Source organism: Homo sapiens, chromosome 16, assembly GCF_000001405.40.
Source record: "Homo sapiens chromosome 16, GRCh38.p14 Primary Assembly".
Lineage (NCBI taxonomy): Eukaryota > Metazoa > Chordata > Mammalia > Primates > Hominidae > Homo > Homo sapiens.
Genome location: NC_000016.10, coordinates 71,447,597 through 71,471,757, shown reverse-complemented (window position 1 = coordinate 71,471,757; position 24,161 = coordinate 71,447,597). Strand labels below are relative to the sequence as shown.

General features: G+C 43.5%; 1 protein-coding gene and 1 long non-coding RNA gene across 23 annotated transcripts, besides 2 other annotated features; one reads left to right on the top strand and one right to left on the bottom strand.

Annotated features, from left to right (window-relative positions):
• Positions 1-3,042: 3,042 nt before the first annotated feature.
• LOC124903709 (uncharacterized) lies at positions 3,043-9,446 on the bottom strand. The gene is made up of 2 exons (XR_007065105.1): positions 8,466-9,446; positions 3,043-7,825 (listed from the first exon to the last, which is right to left on the bottom strand). It is a non-coding gene; the product is annotated as an uncharacterized LOC124903709 (long non-coding RNA).
• Positions 9,393-9,552: an enhancer, noted in NCBI's record as "active region_11074". NCBI's record gives its function as "activates an Ori minimal core promoter by ATAC-STARR-seq in GM12878 lymphoblastoid cells {active_cell/tissue: GM12878}" and the evidence as "EXISTENCE:reporter gene assay evidence [ECO:0000049][PMID:35858748]".
• Positions 9,511-24,161, top strand: ZNF23 (zinc finger protein 23). Of its 22 annotated transcripts, NM_001381969.1 has the most exons (8): positions 9,511-10,099; positions 10,589-10,604; positions 14,930-14,994; positions 15,637-15,686; positions 17,540-17,716; positions 18,408-18,515; positions 21,043-21,164; positions 21,873-24,161. In NM_001381969.1, exon 8 carries the CDS (start codon positions 21,908-21,910, stop codon positions 23,663-23,665), a length of 1,758 nt encoding a protein of 585 aa, NP_001368898.1. In that variant the 5' UTR covers positions 9,511-10,099; positions 10,589-10,604; positions 14,930-14,994; positions 15,637-15,686; positions 17,540-17,716; positions 18,408-18,515; positions 21,043-21,164; positions 21,873-21,907; the 3' UTR covers positions 23,666-24,161. The 22 variants fall into 22 exon arrangements, with proteins under 22 accessions (NP_001368898.1, NP_001291422.1, NP_001368897.1 ...); NM_001304493.2 differs by lacking the exon at positions 10,589-10,604 and having other exon boundaries at positions 9,511-9,548; positions 17,590-17,716; NM_001381968.1 differs by lacking the exon at positions 10,589-10,604 and having other exon boundaries at positions 17,593-17,716.
• Positions 9,823-9,912: an enhancer, noted in NCBI's record as "active region_11073". NCBI's record gives its function as "activates an Ori minimal core promoter by ATAC-STARR-seq in GM12878 lymphoblastoid cells {active_cell/tissue: GM12878}" and the evidence as "EXISTENCE:reporter gene assay evidence [ECO:0000049][PMID:35858748]".

The following is a 24,161-nucleotide window of genomic DNA, read 5'->3' as shown; positions in this document are numbered from 1 at the left end:
CATCAAGAGCTTGTTCCAGACAGTAGAGGAAGGGGAAGAAGAGCATGGCACTTTGCCTTAAGGAAGACTTTCTGTAAGTACCATAGAACATTTCCAGTTAAATGTTTATTTCAAGAACTTAGTCACCTGACTATACCTGGCTCCCGAGGACACTATATCCTTCACCTGAGTGGCAGTGTACTACATCAAATAACTTCGAGATTTTGTTTAGGAGGAGGAAGGAGAACAAGTGTTTGAGTGGATAGCTAGCAGCCTCTGCCATGGCGCATGACTGCCATTGTATTCTACATGTCTAAAAGCTTTGGATAAGGAAAAAAAAATTGGTATTTGAATTTCAATGTGCATAACAACTCTAGGGTAGTTGCTATATTTATCCCCAGTTTACAGGCTGGGTATAGTGAAATCTAGTAGATTGATGGGAGAATAGAGCAGATACCTCTGAGATGCACGCACATCACTTTGGCACACCTCTTGCTTTCGCTGTAGCTGCGGTGAACAGTTGTATGTGAACTTAGAGCTCCCTTTGCACTGCTCAAACACTCCACATGCCTTCTGACATTCTGCTTCAGGCACTTTTCCAGAGCTCACTCAACTAGGAAGCACAGCCTGCGAATACACAGGGCAAGTTAGCAATCCCAGAAAAACCCTTAATGATGCTGGACAAGAGTTTGAGGATAAAGGTTCCAGTTTCCCATCTTTCAAGTGGACAATTAGAGGAGGAATTCTTTACTCTTTCCTGGAGGTCCCAGTGCTCATAGCATCAACCTTTAGAACACTTCATATTGTCATTTCCTCCTATCCTGTCTCACTCCTTGGGTTCTTTTAGTACTGCTTCCTGGGATCATCTCCTGAATAAATGTGCGTTCGAGTCCTTGTCTCAAGCCCTGCCTTCAGGGAAACCCAAACTAATGAGAGGGAGACAGAACTTTCAGGCAATGAGAATGTGTCTTATATTCTAGTAGTGAATATTAGTAGTCTACTCAACTGAAATCCTTTAGATGTTAGAGGATGGCCCAGATGAGCATTTTTGTGATGAAATCCCATTCTGTTTTCAGTGGTGGCTGCACATTTCTTATTTCTACTTCAAAGAAGCTTCCTCTCAGAGCAACTATGCTGTGGGGCACAACGTTTTCGTGTGTCACTGAAGTGCCTAATTTTAGATAGACTAAGTTGTTTATATAACTGTAGCTATGTGTGGCCAGGAGGTAAAACATGGTAAATATCACGGTTATCAGCCTGTAAGGAGGACCTGGCAATGCATGTCCCTCAGATTATCAACTAAAACAAGCACTTGGAGCCATGCAAATAAAAGAATCCTTAGAAGTATGCCACATACAATAAATGATTTTATTAATTACTCAACTTTTTTTTTGACACAGGGTCTTGCTCTACCACCCAGGCTGGAGTGCAGTGGCACGATCATGGCTCACTGCAGACTTGCCCTCCCAGGCTCAAGTGATCCTCGTACCTCAGCCTCCCTAGTAGTTGGGACTACAGGCATGCGCCACCACACCCAGTTTATATATATATATAAATTTTTTTTTTGAGATGGAGTCTCGCTCTGTTGCCCAGGCTGGAGTGCAGTGGCATGATCTCGGCTCACTGCAACCTCTGCCTCGTGGGTTCAAGCGACTCTTCTGCCTTAGCCTCCTGAGTAGCTGGGACTACAGGCAAGCGCCACCACGCCTGGCTAATTTTTGTATTTTTAGTAGAGATGGGGTTTCACCATATTGGCCAGGCTGGTCTCGAACTCCTGACCTTGTGATCTGCCCACCTCAGCCTCTCAAAGTACTGGGATTACAGGTGTGAGCCATTGTGCCCATCAATTTATGTATATTTTGTAGAGACAAGGTTTCACTATGTTGCCCAGGCTGGTCTAGAACTCCTGAGGCCAAGCAATCCTCCCACCTTGGTCTCCCAAAGTGCCGGAATCACAGACATGGGTCACTGTGCCTGGCAATAAATATTTATTTAGTGACTTCTGTGTGCTAAGCAACATGCTAGATGATAGCACATGATGACAGAACATGTTACTGATGAGCAACATGGAGCTTCTCTCCAGTTCCTGGTGCTACTGCCTTGTTCTGAGCCACCAACATTTCTTTCCTAGACTACCACAATTGCTCCTTAAGTAGTCTCCCCACTTCTGCTCTTGAATCCTTCTAATCTATCTGCCAGTCAGCAGCCAGGTGTGCTTTTAAAAATATGGAACATAACATGCTTTTCTTAAAACATTTCAATGGGTTTCCATTGACCTTGGAATAAAATCCAAACTCTTTAACATGGCCTGCAAAGCTCTAATGACTTCATGGCGCAGCACTTCCTCCCTCCTCTCTCCCCATGATGTGTCAAGCTTTTTTTTTTTTTTTTTTTCCACTGAAGGGCCTACACATGCTATTCCTCCTGCCTGGAATGCTGTCTCCTTGATTATGTGCCCAGATAGTTCATTCTTATCTTTCAGGTCTCAGCCCAAGATCAAGATCACTTCCTCAGGCCTTTCCTTACCTCCAAGTTAAAATGGTATTCCCTTGATATTATCTCCTAAACACCTTGCTCTTTACCTCCCTCACACGAATGAAAGTTTACAATAATATATTTATCCAGGTGTGGATTTACTTAAAAGTTGTGTCCCCCACTACAGTCTATGTTCTACAAAGACTGTAACATGTAAGCTTTGTTTTTCTTCATCTATAAAATAGATATAATACCTACTGGATCTTCTTCAGTATGGATGTGAAGAAAGCATTACATAATAAACATAAATGTGTCTAATAGTTAATGAAGTGCAATTCAGATTAAAGATGTCTTTGGGCCAGGCATCATGGCACATGTCTATAATCCTAGCACTTTGGGAGACTAAAATGGTTGGATCCCTTGAGGCCAGGAGTTCCAAACCAGCCAACGCAGCATAGCGAGACCCCATCTCTACAAAAAAGAGAAAAGAAAGAAAAATGTTTTCATGGCTCAGAACACCTGAATGCAAGGTAACTCACCAGGAAAGGAGTGTAAGTTAGTTGAATAAAGCAATTGGAACACACGAAGTTTCAGGTTTTATTACATTTTTATTATGTTCAAATAGTGTTGAGGTAATTTATTGTTAACAACAAGAACAATACATAGCTTCCTTGTCTTTTAAATCTTTCAAATACAAATAATTCATGTTAACAAAAATTTATATGATGTAAGAAAGCTTCCCAGAAGAGCCTCTCTTAGCCATTTGGGCCCACAATAAATTATCATCCTTGGAATCTCTGGATTTTGAGGCAGAGTGATAGAGAAGACAAGTAGGAACTGGGGCACTGGGTGATACGTGTCAGGTTCTGACCAAATGAATTCAAAGAAAGGAATAGGGTGAGATTAAGTATTTGGATATCAGGCTTAAAATATAGCCAGAGGGAGGCTGGGCATGGTGGCTAATGCCTGTAATCTCAGCACTTTGGGAGGCCAAGGCAGGTGGATCACCTGAGGTCAGGAGTTCGAGACCAGCCTGGTCGATATGGTGAAACCCCATCTCTACTAAATATACAAAAATCAGCCAGGTGTAGTGGTGGGCGCCTGTAATCCCAGTTACTCGGGAGGCTGAGGCCAGAGAATCGCTTGAACCCGGGAGGTGGAGGTTGCAGTGAACTGAGATCGTGCCACTGCACTCCAGACTGGGTGACAAGAGTGAGACTCCTCAAAAACACACACACATATATAGTCAGAGGGGACCAACACACCAGGTTGGAGGACAATGGTTCTGAGGCCAGCCCCAGAACCTTGGAGAGCGCCACAGACACACCCCCCCCCCCCCCCCCACTGAGTCGGAGCTAGCACCTTGGACAGCACCACGGCTTCTCTGTTTTCTACTGCTGTCCTTTGTACCTGGATGACACTAAACACAGGTTGTAGTGGTCACTGTTAATTTCTTGGGGCTTTCCACTCCGGTGTACCTGGCAATTGTAATCCTCTAAAATCAGCAGTCTTTTACAAGGTTCTTTATGACACGGTGGGGGTTGAGATTCTTTCTCTTCCTTCTAGAAACTTCAGCATCAGAGCTGATAATTGGACCGATTCCCTTGGGAGGTCTATGGGATTGGTACCTAGTATCATTGTGTTATGCCAGAGGCCAACGTCCTTCAAGTTAGGGGAAAATGTGTAATACCTGGTCATACTATGTAAGGAAGAATGCTCAGGGCTCTTCCTAGGCACATATAAGCAAATTATCAGGCAATACATGTGAGAAAGAAGGTATGTTGTATTCATTTGGAGACAGGCTGCTTGATTCTTTTTCATGCCCTCTCCTCACGTGCTAACCCCCACCTGTTAACCTATTTTCAGAAACATACAATGGATTGGATCTGCTTTCTCTGTGGTAAAAATCTTCCGAACTTGATTGTTGTTAGCATGTTTCTGTGAGGTTATGCACAAAAAACTTTGAAGGAGTTTGGCACTGTAGGTCTTTCTCCTACTTATAATATGTCATATTTACAAACTTATGCATTACTAACTTCATTACTGACAAATAAAAAAGTGTAATCAGGTCCACAAATAATTTAGAGGAGGGGAAAAGTTAACATTAATTGAGCAACTACTGAATCCTGGTCCCTGTTGTATGTACTTTAAGCAAAACATTATGTGTAGTATTTACAACAACTGTGAACTATTATCTCATTTTTCAGATGAATCATTGGAATTTCAGAAAAGCTAAGTGGTTGTCCAAGGTCTCATAGCTAGTAGGTGAAGAAATCAGGACTTCTCAGTCCTGTACATTTATTTTTAATTTTCTTTTCTCTGTGTTTGTTTTTGAATAGTTTCTGTTGCTATGTCTTCAAATTCACTCATCTTTTTTCTGTAATGTCTAATCTGCCGTTAATCCCATCCAATGTATTTTTATTGCACATTATAGGTTTTTATCTTTAGAAGTTTGATTTGGGTCTTTTTTATATGTTTCATTTCTCCACCAAACTTTTAGATGTATCAGATATGGTTGTAATAACTTTTAAATGTCATTGCCTACTAATTCTGTTGTGACTATTTCAGAAGTCTATCAGGATTAGTTTTTAATGTAATTTCTTGGATTATGAATTACTGGTCCAAGTAGATAGTATTAATTTAAACTCTATACTTAATGATGCAAACTATGATTATAAATTTTTAGAAGACATTTCTACTACCACTTCAAAGCTTAGGCAAGGACCATAAGATTCTTTGTTATCTCTCTTTGTTCATGAGATTTTTAAAAAATTTATCCTTTCATGATTGGATGAGTGTATGTGTGTGAGAAAAGTCTCTGTTCCTATTCCTTGTTCCTGTAATATGCCTCCTGCATATTATAATTCTGCTTTCTCAGATATCAAGACTTACAACTCTTCACCATTCCCACCCCTGTTGGCCAAAGCATCAGCTGAGGTCCTCAGTCCAAACCAATGCCTCTGGTTTTAGTTTCTTGTTTGGTTTTGGTACGTGGGTACACTTTCCTGTGAGTTAAGTATTTAAAATGATGTCGAATATTATATCTTATTCTAAATTTCTAGATTCTAGTTTATATTATTTGCTACATTGCCCTCAACTGAATTCTGCGTAATATTTATTGTCTTAAACTTATTGTTGTGAGATATTAATATAGCTGTGCCATTTTCCCTTTCCCTTAATACTTGTCTGATATATCTATTTTCCATTCTTTGACTTTCAATACTTGTGCTTTCTTAAGTTTCAGTAGTACCTTATAAGCATCTAACATTTTCTTTCCTTCCTTCCTTCCTTTCTTTCTCTTTCTTTCTCTTTCTCTCTCTCTTTCTTTCTTTCTCTCTCCTTCTCTCTCTCTTTTTTTTTTTGACGGAGTCTCATTCTGTCACCCAGGCTGGAGTGCAGTGGCATGATCTTGGCTCACTACAACCTCCGCCTCTCGGGTTCAAGCAATTCTCCTGCCCCAGCTTCCCCAGTAGCTGGGATTACAGGTGTGCGCCACCACGCTGGGCTAATTTTTGTATTTTTAGTAAAGACAAGGTTTCACCATGTTGGCCAGGCTGGTCTTGAACTCCTGAGCTCAGGTGATCTGTCCACGTTGGCCTCTCAAAGTGCTGGGATTATAGGCATGAGGCACTGTCCAGTCACTTCTAACATTTTTTCTGCGTAAATTTTAGAATCATTTTCACAAGTTTTAAAACAAATCCTATAGGGGTTTTATTTGGTATGACGTTGGACTTATGGATTAAATAAAGAAAACTACCCTTCCTACTGAAGGATTACCTGTGCCTTTCCATTTACACAAGGGGTTTTCATTGGTTTAGTCCCCAAATGTTTAAAATTTTCTTGATATATGTCTTATACATTTATTAGTAAACTTATTCCTATATATGTTTGGTTGCTTTGAGAATAAGACCTTGCCCTACCCTAGTACATTTCTCCACATAGATTAAATGATTTATTCACAGAACTCACAACATCAATAAGTAGGTAAAAATTTTGTAGCCTGAAAACAGCCTTGAACTCCTGGAATGAACATCAACCAGACAGTTGTTTTGCCACAGTTTTCATGAGAAGAAGCAGGCAAAGCCATCTTTACTCTGTCCTATTAAAACTGGAAACAACAAGAAATATTTTTTCTTTTTTGAGACGGAGTTTCGCTCTTGTCGCCCAGGCTGGAGTGCAATGGCGCTATCTCAGCCCACCACAACTTCCGCCTCCTGGGTTCAGGCGATTCTCTGGCCTCAGCCTCCCGAGTAGCTGGGAATACAGGCATGCGCCACCACGCCTGGCTAATTTTGTATTTTTAGTAGAGACAGAGTTTCTCCACGTTAGTCAGGCTGGTCTCGAACTCCCAACCTCAGGTAACTCCCCCCACCTCAGCCTGCCAAAGTGCTGGGATTCCAGGTGTGAGCCACCACGCCTGGCCAACAAAAAAGATTTTTTTTAACATGAGAAGATTGTCAGCTTTCCCTGGTGGTCAGAGAGGAAGGGCTTTAGAGAGGTCTTGGGGCTGCAGGGACAAAGGGTGCAGGAGAAGAAGCCTTAGAGCTGAGCAGGAGGAAACTGACACTACATGGCTGCAGGCCCAGCATGGAAATGAACTTCTAGAATGCTGTAGTCGAAGAGCCAGCTTAATTTTTTAACTCTTGTGTTGTGTGATTTTTCCATCCTTCCTCATTTCTAGGGGTATTAGTTAGGCTATGGGCTTGGAAATTAATTTGAAGAACCCAAATAAATGTGGTTTAAATTTGATGAAAGTTTATTTCTCTCTCATGTATCATCAGAAAGTAAGCCATCTGGGGCTGATATAGCAGCTCTGTGCCTCCTCCTTTTAGTTGCTCTGTCATCCCCAGCAGCCACACCCTTATTCACATGGTCCAAGATGCTCTGATGCTCTCCCTTGTCAACATTCCACCTGGTCGATGAAGGTTTGGGGGCAGGGAGGGCATGTCCCTTGTCTTTAAGGACACAGCATCACATTTTCTTACAGCCTGTTTGCCAGAAGTTGGTCACATGGACACACTTTGCCTTAAAGAATGCTGGGAAATGTGTGCTTTTTCCCTGAGCTGTCATGTCCCTTGCTAGAGATTCTGTAACCTTATAAGAATGGAAGAACAGGGGCTGACAGACAAGAACTGATCTCCATCTCTCCAGACCTACCATAGAGCTTTTGAAACTTGGTTTGTGCATTATTATCTCATTTTTCTGATATGTCTGAAGTAGGAGTAGGAGCTTTGTGGTTATTTAGAGAGCTTTATTTTCTCAACTGTAAAATTAGGCAATGGGTTTATGATGCAAACATTTGGGGCCAGCATTTATGTGATCTGATTCCTTCCTATTTCTTTCAACAAGTCCTCACTCCTGATTTCTGACCCTAGAAAGAAGTGAAAACCAGAACTTATTGACAAGAGCAACGTAATCCCCAGCTATTACTCTGCCCAATCATTTTCTTAATGAACTCATTTTGGAAAACAGTGAAGATCAGGGTCAGGGCAAGGCAGAGAAGGGCACCTGGCCATGGTCACTGTCAAGGTCCAAGGCATAAGACATATCCTACCCTTGGGGACACACAAAGTAGGCTTCTGCCTAAGAGTTAGGGCTGGAGCCTTTGGACCATTGTCAACAACAAATGTTTATTGCTCTCCTTCTTTCTGCCAGTTATTCTCTAGCTGAGGATGATGATGTTGAACAAGATAGATACAGTGTCTGTTCCCTGCAGCCACCAGAGAAGACAGACATATAAATAAACTATCACCATTAAGTAAGTACACAGTGCTGTGATGGCACATAAATGAGTGTCCTGCCTTATTCTGGGTGATGAGGGAAGGCTTGCTTCCCATGCAAAATGGGATTTGAGCTCACACTTCCAGTAACAGTCAAGATGGAGGGTAGGAATGGGAAGGGAAGGGCATTCTAGATTTAGAGAACAGCATTTTTAGCATGTAGGGCTGAGGTAGAGTCAGGGAATGAATGGGAGTGATAAGAAGCCACAGAGGCAAGTGGGAGCCAAATACCAGTCTCCAGTGCAGCAGCGTTGGATGGATCAGAGCTGGAAGGAAGAAAAGCCCACATTACCAGGGTTAGGGGGTGTGTGAGGGGGTGGGGATTTTAAGGGTCGTCCAATCCAGTGGCATTTAGTACTGTCTCCCTTCCCCCAGGGCTCATTTTGGAATTTTATGGTAGGTATTTTGTTATATTTGGTGTCAGTGGTAACATTGCTACTAGCGTTGTGGATAGGAGCCAGGATCCTGCAATGTACAGGACAGTCCTGCCCACTGAAAAAATGTTCACACTTTCAAATGTCTTGCTGAACATTCAGGTAGGTGAAAATTCTATTTCTAAATTATCTGAATCTAAACCTGTTTTCTGGATAAACATGTATTTTTGCACAGTTTTAACATACACTGATCTTCCAGGAATGTAATTATTGTATAATCAAGAGACGATTGTCCTGTGTTTCATTCAGAACTTCACGAAAACATGTTTGCCATTTTGGATCATAATTTTGTGACTTTTGCAACAATGTAAGTCACAGCTTTGTGGCTGTGGCACTCAGACAACGTCTATGTGTAAAGGCGACCACCTTATTAGGTCTCCTGCAGCAGCCAAGACCAAACACATTGAAGTATGTGTTTTTAAACGACAGATGACGGTCCTCTTTTTTTTCTCTTTCATTACACTTAAGGCATAACATTAGTTTTTAATATGTAGGTGTGTATGTTATGTATGATTTTCTAGGCCATTATATATGAATATCAGGTCAGGAGAATAAGATGGACATTACAAACTATTTGTTAGAAAAAGGGGGCATTGGGTGTGACAGCGCGCCATCCACTGGTCCATTTCCAAGACTCCCACACGTGGCTGCACCTGCAGCTTCACCTCCCCGGGCTGGGTCCCCGCTTGGCTCTGATTCTTACCTGCCCCATTCCCCAGGGGTAACAGTCACCGTGGGCCAGACCCGAGCTAGCCGACAGGGATGCGGCCACAGCTGGCCGGGCGTGACCACCACCGAGGCGCAGCGACCTTGCTCCTAGAGAGGCCCGGCCGCCTGGTGACGCACTTCCGGCAGCGCCGGGGAGCAGTCCGCTACGGAGGTGAGTGCAGGGCTCCGGGCGCTGTGTGCCGTGCCCTGTCCCCCAGGCTCTGGGTCCGGTTGAGACGCACTCCCACCCTGGGTGCTGCAGGGTCTCCCGTGGCCTACGCTGCCAGGAGGCCCAGGCTGGGAGAGGGAGCAGGGCGGCGGCCCGGGGTGCTCTTCCGCGCTCCTCGACTCCAGCTTTGGTCTTTGTGGCTCAATAGCTTGCGCCCATTGGAAGGGGAAACGCACGTTGCTGTCCCAGCCACGAGGCCCTGAGCATTTAGCACTTGGTCGACGGGGGAAGATGTGTCGGTGCAGCTAAAAGATGGAATATTTGCGGGCGTGAAGCGGCCCGAGGTGATACCACAAGTCTTTTGACATGCTGAGGTCTGGCAGGAACATTAACCTATGTGCATCCCGAGTATGGACCGTGTGCTCCCAGGCTCCTGACATAGGGTCATGAATTAGGGCCGAGTGGGAGCGCAGAGCCCCTCCCAGTCACCCGGCAGCAGAAGCAGCCCGGCTTTTGGAGGACATTGTCTCCTGGAGCAGTGTCAGTCCCAAAAGGTAACTCAGCCCTGCTTCTCTCGGCTCAGGGTTGACAGTGACCTGGGAATGACTTCTACAACGTAATTACGAATTCACTCAGTTTTAGAATATATTTAGTAGTCTCAGAATCGCTAATTCATACCCCCATGAAAAGCAAATTTACTACCTAAAGTACAGTACTTGGATACAGGTCTTTTTGTCTTTACTCTTATGGTATTTAGTCAAAATACTGTTTTCCAAAGTTGCTTACCCCTTTTCTTTCCTACCACTTAAGTGTGGTTATGTTCACTGTAGTATAGTTAAGCACATTGGCTGTTCTTTGTATTACATTTTGGGTCCTCAATTTCACCCCATCCTTGCTGGTTTATATATTTATTTAAAATATATATTTATATGTTACATATATAGTAGTAAACATCCATGAACACACCACCCAATTAAGAAAGAGAAGATTGCCAGTACTGCTGAATTTATCAATGTGTTCCTCCTCCTCAACCCAACTCCCAGCCTCCAACCCCTAGAGGTAACAGTTATATTGACTTTTGTGTTAATTGTAGCCCTGTTATTTTAAAAAATAATTACATATGCATGTATCTGTAAGCAATGTACTTAAATTTTTTTTTTGAGCTTCATATAAATGGCACCATTGTGTGTATAAGTCATCTGGGACTCGCATAATTCAATGTTAAGTTTCCAAATTCATTCTGTGTGTAGCTTCTGGGTAATGTTCCATTGTAAAAACTGTATGAAAATTTATCGATGTATTTTCAATGGACATGTGGGTTGTTTTCAGTGTTTTGTTATTAAAATGTGCTGATAATATTTTTGTACGTACTTCCTACATATGAGAGTTTCTCTAGTGTGTAAGTTTTTAAAATTAGGCACAAATGTTGAATTATGTTAAACATCTTTGGCATCTGTTGAGATGGACAGTGTGTTTATCTTTCTTTGATTTATTAATGTGAAAAATATACTAATTAGTATCTTCGTGGGATAATCCTACTTACTCATGATGTATTTAATGAACTATTGGAGTCTATTCCTTGATAGAATTTTTGCATTAGAATTCATAAATGAGACTGGTCTGTAGTTTTTGCATCAGTATTGTGCTGGCACCATAAAAAGAATTGGGAAACTTACTTTGCTGTGCTCTGCTACGGTTTACATAGTGTTAGAATTACTCATTTCCGAAACATTGAAAGAATTTGCTCATGACACATCTGAGCTCAGTGTTTTGTGAGAGTTAGTTCTTCACTGGCCATCTTGGTTTAATTAGGTAAAAGTAATCAAGGATTATGTAGAAAATCTATATAATGTCATAACAGGAAAAAACCTGGAATCGTATTTAAAAAAAAAAACTATCCCCTTGGGAGGGAGCCAAGAGACCAAAGAATGCCTTGGACGAGTCCAGCTTGGCAAGTAGATGAGTTTATTAGGACTTACATACTTACTCCTGGATGGCAGCAGGACAGCTTTAGAGACCTGTGATGCCCCTCGTCTCTAAGTACTTTTTAGAGAATTTTCTGGCTGTTTGCCTACTGCATTTAAACGATGAGACTTTTCTTGGTAGGTTCTCATATACTTTCTAGGATGTTTACGTTCTTGCAAACACCTGCTCCTCTGCTGAGCCCCATGGTCTTGACTCACTGCCCGGTCTTCAAGGTTCAGGCAGCAGGTATACACCCTTGACTAGCTGAGCGGGGTAGCTATCACACTACATATGTAATTGGTAGAGTTGGTTTATTATCTAAAAATGGAGTTGTATATTCTCCCATCACAGAATAAGTTTTCTCTTTAAACACCAGATAATATATTTTTTTAAATGGACATGAGTCACAAAAAAACCCTGAAAAATGTGTAAAGTAGAAGTTAGTAGATTGGGTTATATAACCATCATGCAATAAAGCCAGAACTTATAAACAGAAGAAATTAGCAACAGTAAACTATCCTAAGCAATTACTAGGTCAGAGACAAAACAGAATTGCTGACTGACTATAAAACAGTAATTAAAACATGAAATATAAAAACCTCTGGAATGTGGCAAATAGTGTATCCCAAGGAAAATTTGTGGCCTTATAGGCTTTAATTGCCAAATAGGAAGAATGAAAATAAATGAATAAGTCATGCAACCTCAAGAAGGTGGGAAAAAAGCCTTTTGTAGTCTAAGCTTCCCCAAAAGCAGAACGTGGAACAAAGATTTGTATGTAGGAATTTATTTAGGAATATGGTCACAGGGGCAGAGTGAAAGACAAGGGGAGTGAAACAGAGATGGGAGAACTGGTACAAGGATGCATTGGTATGCTCGGCCCTCAACAGGCTCTGCCTTGCAGGGCGTTTGAGGAGCCTTGGAGTCTTAAGGCTGCCCCGCTGGGGGATCGACGGGGAAAACATTTATCCATTGGTTTCTCTCCCCTATTGGTCAAGGGGGTCCCACAGGTGTTAATGCCTCTGCACTTCAGGGCCCAGCAGGTGTCCACAGGTGTCCCACATAGGACACCAGAGAAGCCCCAGGGCAGGAACCAGGCATAGGTGATGTAGGTCCTTGTGAAGGTTCTGGTAGCTTGCAGCTTCACAAAGCTGACTAACCTCTGTAGAACTGGACTGAGGATGGGATAAGAGGATTGGAGTGGTGCTTACACTGCCCCTTACAGAGCTGAAGGAACAAACTAAGAGCAGAATTAGTGAATTTAAAACAAATAGAAGAAAGTAGTGTTGCTCAACTAGAAAAGCTGGTTCTTTGAAAATAAAAGGAAACCACATTAAAATAAGTAAAACACTGCTCAGCCTAACTGTATTAGTCTGCTTGGGCTGCCATAACAAAATACCATAGACTGGGTGGCTTCACCAACATACTTATTTCTCACAGTCCTGGAGACTGGAAGTCCAGGATCAAGGTGCCAGCTGATTTTGGCTCCTGCCAGGGTTGCCTTCCTGGCTTATAGATAGTAGCCCTCTCGTTGTGTCCTCACATGGGGGAGGCGGGGAGTGAGTGGTTTCGTGGGCTCTGGGTCTCTCCTTCTTCTTGTAAAGGCATCACCCCTATTGGACCTCATTTAACCTTAGGACCTTTAGTCCCACCCTTAGGACCTCATTTATCCTTGTAACCTCCTGACAGGCCCCGTCTCCATATACAGTCACATTGGAGGCTAGAGCTTCAACATATGAATTTGGCAGGGGCATAAATGTTTAGTCTCTAACTCTAACCCTGGGAAAAAGGTCTAGAAAGCACATATATTCAAAAGAAGAAGTGGGAAAAGCAAACTAGCTCTGGATATGGAGGAAATGGAAAGAATCATGAACCAGTATTTTCTGCAACTCTGTACTAGTAAAGTTGAAATCCTGGAAGAAATGGATGATATTTTAGGAAAATGTAATTTCAAGACTGACTTTAGGGGCAGTAAAAGTCAGAAAATCACTAGTCCATATGTTTTTGAATACAGTGAACAAGAGGCTCTGGGTCACGGGACTGGCTGCTACAGTGATCTCCTCTCTCAGGAGCTGACGCAGAAGTGTAGGCCTTGGCTCATTCACTATCAGAAGACTGGAAAGTTTGGGAAACAGCCTGGTTCCTAACTTCCAGCTCAGCTTCCTAAGGACAGCCTGTGCTGTCCTTAGGAGGACTGACCTCTCAAGACCTCTCCAGAGGTGTTAGGATTCTTGAGGACATTCAGAGCTCTGAGGAAGTGGGGCAGGATACTGGGGGGCAGCTGCCTTCTCCAGGCGCTGCCTCCCTGGGGTCTGACTCCCCAGGCTTGTGTACTGGGGCTGCAGCCCAGCCAGTCCAGCTTCTCCTGCTGTGATACTGAAGATAATGCTTGTGTTGAGAAAGAGAAATAAGTCAAAGATCTTGGTATTGTCCTATTTCTTGAAATGAATTGTGGATACATGACTCTTTGCTTTATTTTTTAGGCTCTGCATACATTTTATTTTATTTTTATTTTTTATTTTTTTGAGATAGCGTCTCACTCTCATCACCCAGGCTGGAGTGCAGTGGTGTGATACTGGCTCACTGCAGCCTTGACCTCCCGGGCTCAAGTGATCCTCCTACCTCAGACTCCCGAATAGCTGGGACCACAGGCATGTGTCACCACCTCTGGCTAATTTTTTTTTTTTTGAGACGGAGTCTTGCTCTGTTGCCCAGGCTGGAGTGCAGTGGCGCAATCTTGGCTCACTGCAAGCTCTGCCTCCCGGGTTCACACCATTCTCCTGCCTCTGCCACCCGAGTAGCTGGGACTACAGGCGCCCGCCAGCACGCCCGGCTAATTTTTATATTTTTAGTAGAGACGGGGTTTCACCGTGTTAGCCAGGATGGTCTTGATCTCCTGACCTTGTGATCCACCCGCCCTGGCCTCCCAAAGTGCTGGGATTACAGGCTTGAGCCACCGCGCCCAGCCTAATTTTTGTATTTTTTATAGAGACAGGGTTTTGCCATGTGTCCAGGCTGGTCTCGAACTCCTGAGCTCAAGTGATCCACCCGCCTTGGCCTCTCAAACTGTTGGGATTATAGGCACGAGCCACCGTGCCCAGCAGGTTTTATATGCACTCTTCTTCTTCTTTTTATTTTTAATTTTTATTTGTTTATTTTTAAATTTTATATATATACTCTTCAGTGTGTGTGATATGTATCAGAATTGTAAAGTCCTAGGGTTCCTGGCAGTGAATTTCAGTGTCATAGCCTGGAGTCCTAGGCACTGAGCCAGTGAACAGATCATTCCCTTCTTGGGCAGCTCCTGTTCGCACTCCTATTTGGATGCAAGCTGCCTGTGTCTTGCATTTTCTGTGAGGGGCTATGTTGCTCTGGTTGGGGTGGCTTGCCTCACACTTGTCTCTCTTTGTGTTTCTCCTTAGCTCCAGCCCTTCTCTGAGACGGGGACCAGGGGATGGCAGCCATGCACCTGACAGCCTGGCCCCAGGTGAGCTGTGGGGTCCTTCAGCTCTTCCTCTGGGCAGTTTCAGATTGAAAAACATTGAGAAGGGGAGCTGGTGAGCCTCGGGATGACAGCTGCTTCCACCTGCTGGACTGGAACTTGTGGGAAAGAGGTGTTGTGCAGGGAGGGCGGCAGAGACCAGGACAGTAGCGAGTGGAGGAAGCGGGAGAGTGAGCAGGAGAGCAGGAGGGTGGTGGTCTTCTGCACACTGAGGGTCTCTGCTCCTCTCTACAGGAGCACCCCCAGCATAGGGCTCTGGGTGAATGGGGACGTGGAAACCGCCCCTGTGGGATGTACTGTGCAGGGGTGTCAGTGGAGCACAGTCGCAGAGGATTGGACTATCTGTGGTGGGGATGTAGAGAAGAGGAATAGCAGGACCTGATCAGAGAAGGATGGCCGTGCCTCTAATTCAGGGGTAAGGGAAGGTCACAGGGAGTGGAGTCAAGGGAGGGGGAAGACAGTCACATGGGACGGAATGTCTCATTGTGCTTGTGAAGCTTTCAAAGTTTAGGATGCAGACTTTAGGTCTCTGAGAAGAGCTTTCCACCCTGTCCTGCAGGAAAGAGGTGTTGTGCGGGGAACCTGCAGAACATAAACCTGCAAACCAAATTTTCCATACATTTTCAGGGACTTCACGGATCCCCTGAAGCTCATCCATGGACTTCCATGGACTACAGGTTGGGAACAGTCCACAGTCACACCAGTTGTATCTTTGGAGGCTTACTATGCTCCAGGAGCCATACTAAGCCCTTTGTATGGTCGTTTGGTCCTGACAACCGCCTCTGTGATAAGTGCTGTGTTGTACTCTTTCCACCTAAAAAGAAAAGGCAAAAGGGGAGTAGAGTAACTTGCCCAGGATCACAGAGTTATTGTGTGATTCAGAACTGCTTAGCCATAAGACAGCTGTGGAACCAGTGATGTTAACTTGGTCAGATTTGTGATGTGTATGGAATAATTTGTAAGGAAGATTCAAAAGCACGGTGACCACTTCACAAAGAAGAATCCCACTGGTCCCGTGACATGGGCTTCATCAAGGAAAGCCATCATTAAAGAGGGATCCAATTCAAGTAATGCTTAAGATAGAAAAATCATGGCCGGGTGTGGTGGCTCACACCTGTAATCCCAGCACTTTGCGAGGCTGAGGTGGTTGGATCACTTGAGGTCAGGAGTTCAAGATCAGCCCAGCCAACATGGTGAAACCCTGTCTCTGCTAAAAATAGAAAAATTAGCTGGGTTTTATGGTGCATGCCTATAGTCCCAGCTACTCAGGAGGCTGAGGCAGGAGAATTGCTTGAGCCCGGGAGGCAGAGGGTGCAGTGAGCCGAGGTCATGCCACTGCGCTTCAGCCTGGGTGACAGAGCGAGACTCCAACTCAAAGAAAAAAAAAAATCTTTCGGACATAGAGACTCAAAGGATTTGTGGTGATAAGGAAGGTGGGAAGTCAAGAACAATCCCCAGGTTTCTGGCTGAGGTTTCTTGTGAGGGTGATTCTGACCCCAGCTGAAGTGTAAGTTCAGAAGGAAGTGCCAACTTACCAGGGTGGTGGTGGCGGCACACAGTGAAGACATTATATTTTGTGCAGAGAAGTTACTTGTTGAAGGTCACACAAAGAAGGCTCACAGAAACACCTAAAGGTTGGACTAGAATTGCTGATGGGTGGAGGTCAGTAAATTCCAGGAAGACACATCCTAGCAGAGAGGAGTTGAGCAGCAGATCCCTGCCAGTGAGCCCCCATGGTTGTTAGAGCAGGCTGAGGTGGGCAGAGGGTAAGCCTCCCAGAGGCTGCAGCTGCCCAGGAGGGGTGGTTGGGCCTGGGAGTGACACGAAGCGTCCCTGAGTGGTGGAGCTTGTGCCAACCACATAGCTTAGTGATGCAAAGGGGAGAGTAGCCGGCCAGTGGGAAGGCCGGTCTCCCTGCTTTCCCAAATGTTCTTGGAGAAACAGTGAAGCTTTCGGAGAAGTTGGAAAGGATGAGACTTGAATGGGAGAGGGTAAGGAAAATTCTGGCTTTCCAGGAAGACCCTGCAGCCTGGGCAGCATGGAGCATCCTTGGCTGGAGGTGCTCAAGCAGAGGCTGCACAGCCCCTTGTTGGGGGGTCTGTGAAGGGAATCTGGTGGGGCTGGATGAGACAGAAGCCGTGGATGATCTTTGGGGGTGGCTTGAGCTGTGAGGATGAGGGCGATGGGTGGGCAGCAGAACAGGGCTGAGGTTAGGCGCAGGGGAGTGGTGTGGGACCTGCTGGTGGATCAGCCCCGAGTTTGCTGGGAGGGAGCAGCTTATCTAAAAGAGTGGAGTTGGCTTTAGAGAATTTGCTTATGGAAATTTTTTTCTTTCAGCCTGTCTTAATGTGACCTCTTATTTGTGTGAAAAATGGCATGAGGTTTCCCTGCTGTGGGAGAATGTGGATACTTTGTAGTTTACTTTCTCGATATTTTTTTTCTGAGATCTTCCCCTTGTTGTTAATACTAATTTTGTGCTCTCACAAGCACCCTCCCCAAGCCCTTATACTGCGCTCTGCCCCTCACTTAGGGCCTGAGCTATGGAATTGGCCCTAGGGCAGCAGGAACCTATTGTTTCAGAAGTCGGTGACCTTTGAGGACGTGGCTGTGTACTTCACCCAGGCGGAATGGGATGGCCTGTCCCCTGCACAGAGGACCCTGTACAGGGATGTGATGCTGGAGAATTATGGGAATGTGGCCTCCCTGGGTAAGACCTCTCTACCCTGGGAACCTGGAATCTGCCAATTGGGGTTCCTGGCTTGCTTCTCCCTTACAGGTTACTGAGGGGATCTCTGGTAATCCTTTACTGAGTGAGAACCCCAGAGCTGTTCCTAATCTAGACTTAGAGGTTACTGGCAGGGGCAAATGCCAAGCCTTTTGTAGGCCTATATAGGACTTTGCTTGGAACTGGTATGCACTGTTGATCCAACCCATGAAAGCTATGTTTTGGAAACACTGGAATCCAGTTGCTTCCTGTTCCACAGTGGCATCTTCAGTTGCCCCCTCATCTTACCTGTCTTGAGTCTTTTCAAGGATCTCAGTGTACTCTGGATTATTTCAGGCCAAGGTCAAAAAGTGGTATCCCTTTGGGCAGAATCTCCCTGCTTGCCCTGCATGAGGTCTCCTAGGCCTACAGTCTGGGCCCTAACCAGGCTCTCCCACACGTTCCCAAGCCTTCACCCCCAACCCCCACATTTGCCTCCCAAAGCCCTTGGAAGTCTCCAAGGTCTCTTTAGTCCTTCCTAAGCCCCACAGTACTTTCCCGTAGTCCTGAGGCTTGGGACCTCCTGGGGTTCTTACCTTCCCTCCCCATTGCTGAGACAGTCTGAGAAGAGGCTTAGGAATTTGTCTGTGGGAGTTTATTCATCTGTCTCTCCTATTTACCTCTCCCAAACCAGGATTTCCACTTCTCAAACCTGCTGTGATCTCACAACTGGAGGGAGGAAGTGAGCTGGGGGGCTCATCTCCACTGGCTGCAGGAACAGGCCTCCAGGGCCTCCAGACTGGTAAGGGAGGTACATATTTCCCACTCTGTTGGAATTTAGCACTTTAGGCATAAAGCCAGCTTTAGCAACATATAAACATACTGTGTTTATTGGCCAGTCATACAGAGTGAAGTTTGAGTAAATTTTGATGATTCATAGAGATAGGTAGTCCTTATCTTTCTGTCTTCAAAGTTTGTTGTGTCTAATTCCAAGAACAGATCTTTTTTCAAACCCTTCATTCTGACTCTTCAATGCTAATTTTGGAATCCTGCCTTTCTCAGACAAAATTAAGGGACTCAGTAGTTTGGGGGTTCCTTGCCATTTCTAAGCATTATTCACATAGTGTGGAGGATACAGAATTAACAGCCTTTTCACACAGATAGAAGTGCTTAAAAGCACAGTCTTTAGAGGAGACTTTTCTGAGGTCCAGTCCCAACTGTGCTGCTTCCTAATTTGCGTGACTTTGAGTAGGTTATTTGAGTGTTCTCATCTCTGAAAATGGGTTAATAATAAAAGGAGGTAATAGTACTATCTTGTGGGTTGAGGTTTAAATGAGATAACACATATCAAATACCTAGCTTATAATGTGTGCTCAGTTCAGTATTTTTATTTTGGTTTTGGGGAATACAGCTGTACACAGGGAAGGTAATGTGGAAGGGAGGAAGTGCTCTTAATTTTTGCTTCTTAAATGTGAATGTGTAAAGGAATCCTGAGGTCTTACAGATATGCAGTAAGTGTGGAGTCTGCATTTCTATGAAGTTCCCTGGTGATGTGGCGATGCCAGTACTTCTGGTTACCAGACCACACTTGAAGGAGCAGGGCTCCAATTGGTGCCAGCAGAGTAGCTGCCAAATGACTTCTCATTCCCCCCGAGGCCCCCCGTTATTTCTTATATTTAGGGTCTGTGAGATTCTCTTGAATTTTTTCAGTGAGTCTTCATTTTTCTTAGATGGTTTCTGTAGGTTTTTATTCCTTTTGATCATTCTATCAGACGATATCTGACCAAAGAAGGCATGTTTTGGAAATGGAGTTTGCCGTATAATGGCCTTGACAAATATAGGGAAAAAAGTGATATTGTGAGGTCTTAATCAAAGGACCCTGTATTTTATTCTGTAGACAGCTGACTGTCCTGAAGTCTTTGACTTTTCCAGGAAACCCATCATGATCCTAGCTGGTGATAGAAACATTAATGTAGTCAGTGTGTGTGGGTTAATTGGGATGAGGAATCAAACAGGCTCTAGGCAGGCAGAAGGGAGGGCAAAGGGCATGAGGCCCATGGCAGCAGTGTTGACTTTCTTTTTAAAAATCTTCAGAAGCCCAGTCAGTGATACCTGTTTAAGACTCATTTGCTGTAACTGTGTCAAATGGCCATCCTCACTGCAAGAGAGGAAAGTGAAAACGAGAGATATTTCACCTATCATATTGAGAATAATTAAATTATATTCAATGTTGGTGAGAGTGCAGCAAAGCAGGAATAGACTTCTGGAGAGGATGACTAGACATCTGATAGTATAGATGTCTTAGTCAGTTTGGGCTACAATAACAGACTGCCATAGATTGGATGGCTTATAAACAACAGAAATTTATTTCATACAGTTCTAGTCCAAGATCAAGGTTCAGGCAGGTTCTGTCTGGCAAGGGCCTGCTTCCCGGCTAATAGACAGCTGTCTTCTCACTGTATCCTCACATGGTGGCAAGAAAGGGAGCTCTCTGGGCTCTTTTTTAAGGGCATTAATCCCATTCATGAGGGTTCTGCCATAGCTCAACCTCCTGATACAATCACATCAGGGGTTAGGACTTCAGAATATGAATTTGTGGGGAGGACAAACATTCAGTCTATAGCAACAGATGAGTATTATTTTTTTAGTTGGGAAGAGACCAGTATTATTTAGAAAGTGCTTGCTGGGGAATCCAGGCAATTGGAGGGGCTTATTGAGGGCAATTATGAAATACTGGGGCAGGGGGCATATTACATGTGGTTGAGGAGTGATGAAAGATGAAAAAATATGAGGCAGCATTTTGGGACTGAGCTTTTGAGAAAGTTGGGAACAAATGCAGAGATGAGTAGTTCTAGTTCTAAAGACTATTGGGATTATAAAAAGATTTTTAGGGAATGATCAAGTTTAGGATTAGAGGAAGAAGTGAAAGGAAAAGGCAAGGTTAATGCAGCAGTATTTGGAGGGGAATGGGAAGAAAGGGGATGAGATGGACCTCAAATAGAGCCTGTCTAAAGTAGAAATGAAGTTGAAGGACAAATTTTGGAAAGCCCACAGTTAATGTTCTAAGGAAAGAAACAAAATTATTTCCATTTTGCTCCCTGGTGCTGCTGACTGTTGTCATCTTCCAAGTTGCCATATTCTGTTGGATCCTGTGCCTTTTCCTTCTTCAGCATTTTCCATTTTTTTTTAAGTAAGGAACTGAGTGCTATAGGAACAACTAAGAAGAAACTGCAGGGTGTAGAAAAGCATGGTGTGATTAAAAGAATGCTGAGCTGGTGGACAAGACCTAGAATTTTATTCCACTACTGTCACTTTTTTTTTTTTTTGAGATGGAGTCTCGCTCTGTCGCCCAAACTGGAGTGCAGTGGCAAGAACTTGGCTCACCGCAACTTCCGTTTCCCGGGTTCGAGCAATTCTCCTGCCTCATCCTCCCGAGTAGCTGGAACTACAGGCACGTACCACCACACCCGGCTAATTTTTTGTGGTTTAGTAGAGACGGGGTTTCACTGTGTTGCCCAGGCTGGTTGCAAACTCCCAAGCTCAGGCAATCTGCCTGCTTCAGCCTCCCAAAGTGTTGGGATTACAGGTGTGAGCTACCGTGCCCAGCTGTCACTTTTAACCTTCATGTGATTGGTTATGTTCTCTACAGTGGCCTTGTATTAGGCACAGTGGGAATGGTGATTTTTTTTTTATCATTACTTTCATTGCTTTTCATTACTTTCATAATATTGACACCTATTCAACAGTACAGAAAGTGTATAAAGTAGGGAAGCAAGTCCACTAAACTTCCTATGCCAGTTTATTTAGTTTCTTATGGATTCTTCTAGAAGTTTTCTAGGTATGTACAAATATATATATCTGTCTTTTATATTTTTCTTTACACAGCTGAAAATCTATTCTATATACTGTTTTTTCAACTTGTTTTTCCATTTGATTGTATCTTGGATGTCTTTTTACGTCAGCATATATGGATTTATTGTATTCTTTTACTAGTTAGTTACAAATTACTTATCCCACCTTATGGAGAAACCCTATGTTTTTTGACCTAGTCTGGTGATTTTAAGGAGCCCCCTGATTATTATGGTCTTTTATAGCACAGTTCTCTTCTTTTTCCTAACATGGTTCTTACATGACATTTTATGTTTTCTGTTTTTTATAGTAGATATTCAGACTGACAATGATTTGACAAAGGAAATGTATGAAGGAAAAGAGAATGTATCATTTGAACTTCAAAGAGACTTTTCCCAGGAAACAGACTTTTCAGAAGCCTCTCTTCTAGAGAAACAACAGGAAGTCCACTCAGCAGGAAATATAAAGAAGGAGAAGAGCAACACCATTGATGGAACAGTGAAAGATGAGACAAGCCCCGTGGAGGAGTGTTTTTTTAGTCAAAGTTCAAACTCATATCAGTGTCATACCATCACTGGAGAGCAGCCCTCTGGGTGTACAGGATTGGGGAAATCCATCAGCTTTGATACAAAACTCGTGAAGCATGAAATAATTAATTCTGAGGAAAGACCTTTCAAATGTGAAGAATTAGTAGAGCCCTTTAGGTGTGACTCTCAACTTATTCAACATCAAGAGAACAACACTGAGGAAAAGCCTTATCAGTGTTCGGAGTGTGGCAAAGCTTTCAGCATTAATGAGAAATTAATTTGGCATCAGAGACTTCACAGTGGGGAGAAACCCTTCAAATGTGTGGAGTGTGGGAAAAGCTTCAGCTACAGTTCCCATTATATCACACATCAGACAATCCACAGTGGGGAGAAGCCCTATCAGTGTAAGATGTGTGGGAAGGCCTTCAGTGTTAATGGAAGCCTAAGTAGGCATCAGAGAATCCATACGGGAGAGAAGCCCTATCAGTGCAAGGAATGTGGAAATGGCTTCAGCTGTAGTTCTGCATATATTACACATCAGAGAGTCCACACTGGAGAGAAACCTTACGAGTGTAATGACTGTGGGAAAGCGTTCAATGTTAATGCAAAATTAATTCAACATCAGAGAATCCATACTGGAGAGAAACCTTATGAATGTAATGAATGTGGAAAAGGCTTCAGGTGCAGCTCCCAGCTTAGGCAGCATCAGAGCATCCACACAGGAGAAAAGCCCTATCAGTGTAAAGAGTGTGGAAAAGGCTTCAATAATAATACAAAACTCATTCAGCATCAGAGAATCCACACAGGTGAGAAACCCTATGAATGCACTGAATGTGGAAAAGCCTTCAGTGTCAAAGGGAAGTTAATCCAACACCAGAGAATTCACACAGGCGAGAAACCCTATGAGTGTAATGAATGCGGGAAAGCCTTCAGATGTAACTCCCAATTTCGGCAGCATCTGAGAATTCACACTGGGGAGAAGCCCTATGAGTGTAATGAGTGTGGAAAGGCCTTCAGCGTTAATGGGAAACTAATGCGGCATCAGAGAATTCACACTGGGGAGAAACCTTTTGAATGTAATGAGTGTGGGAGATGCTTTACTTCTAAAAGAAACCTACTTGATCATCACCGAATCCATACTGGAGAAAAGCCCTATCAATGTAAGGAATGTGGGAAAGCCTTCAGTATCAATGCCAAACTAACTAGGCATCAGAGGATACATACTGGGGAGAAACCTTTCAAATGTATGGAATGTGAGAAAGCATTCAGCTGTAGTTCTAACTATATTGTGCACCAGAGAATCCATACAGGAGAGAAACCCTTTCAGTGTAAGGAGTGTGGAAAAGCCTTCCATGTTAATGCCCATTTAATTCGGCATCAGAGAAGCCACACTGGGGAGAAACCCTTCAGATGTGTGGAATGTGGCAAAGGCTTCAGCTTTAGTTCTGACTACATTATACATCAGACAGTCCACACTTGGAAGAAACCCTATATGTGTAGTGTGTGTGGGAAAGCATTCAGGTTTAGCTTCCAGCTCAGTCAGCATCAGAGTGTCCATAGTGAAGGAAAATCCTAATAATGAGAAAGATATAGAAAACTCTTAAGGTTAATGCCAAAATGGATCAAGTATCATCAGATTCATCCATTGAAAAACCTCCAAGAGGGCATGAATATGGCAGAGTCTTCATATGGAAACAGTTTTTATTCTATTCAGTTTAAATCAGGAAAGGATGACCAGTTAAAGAGAAACATCCAAAAATAGCTTTGTTTTGTACCAACAGGAATTAGAAAATATAATGAAAAGATTTCGTTCCCAGCAGCATCAAGAAAAGTAGATTTTCTAGAAATAAACAGTTATGGAGGACTTGTATGGAGAAATTTAAGTCTTCACTGAGGGCCACTTTACAAAGGAAATTTGAATAAATGGAGAGAGAGAGAAGCCTTGTTGTTGGATAGGAAAACCCGTACTAAAGATACTCTACCTACATTAATTTATTTGTTTAATTTTTGACAACAAGCATGTATTACTTTTGAAAAGATGAAAAATAAAGATTTATTTAAAAAAGGAAAAA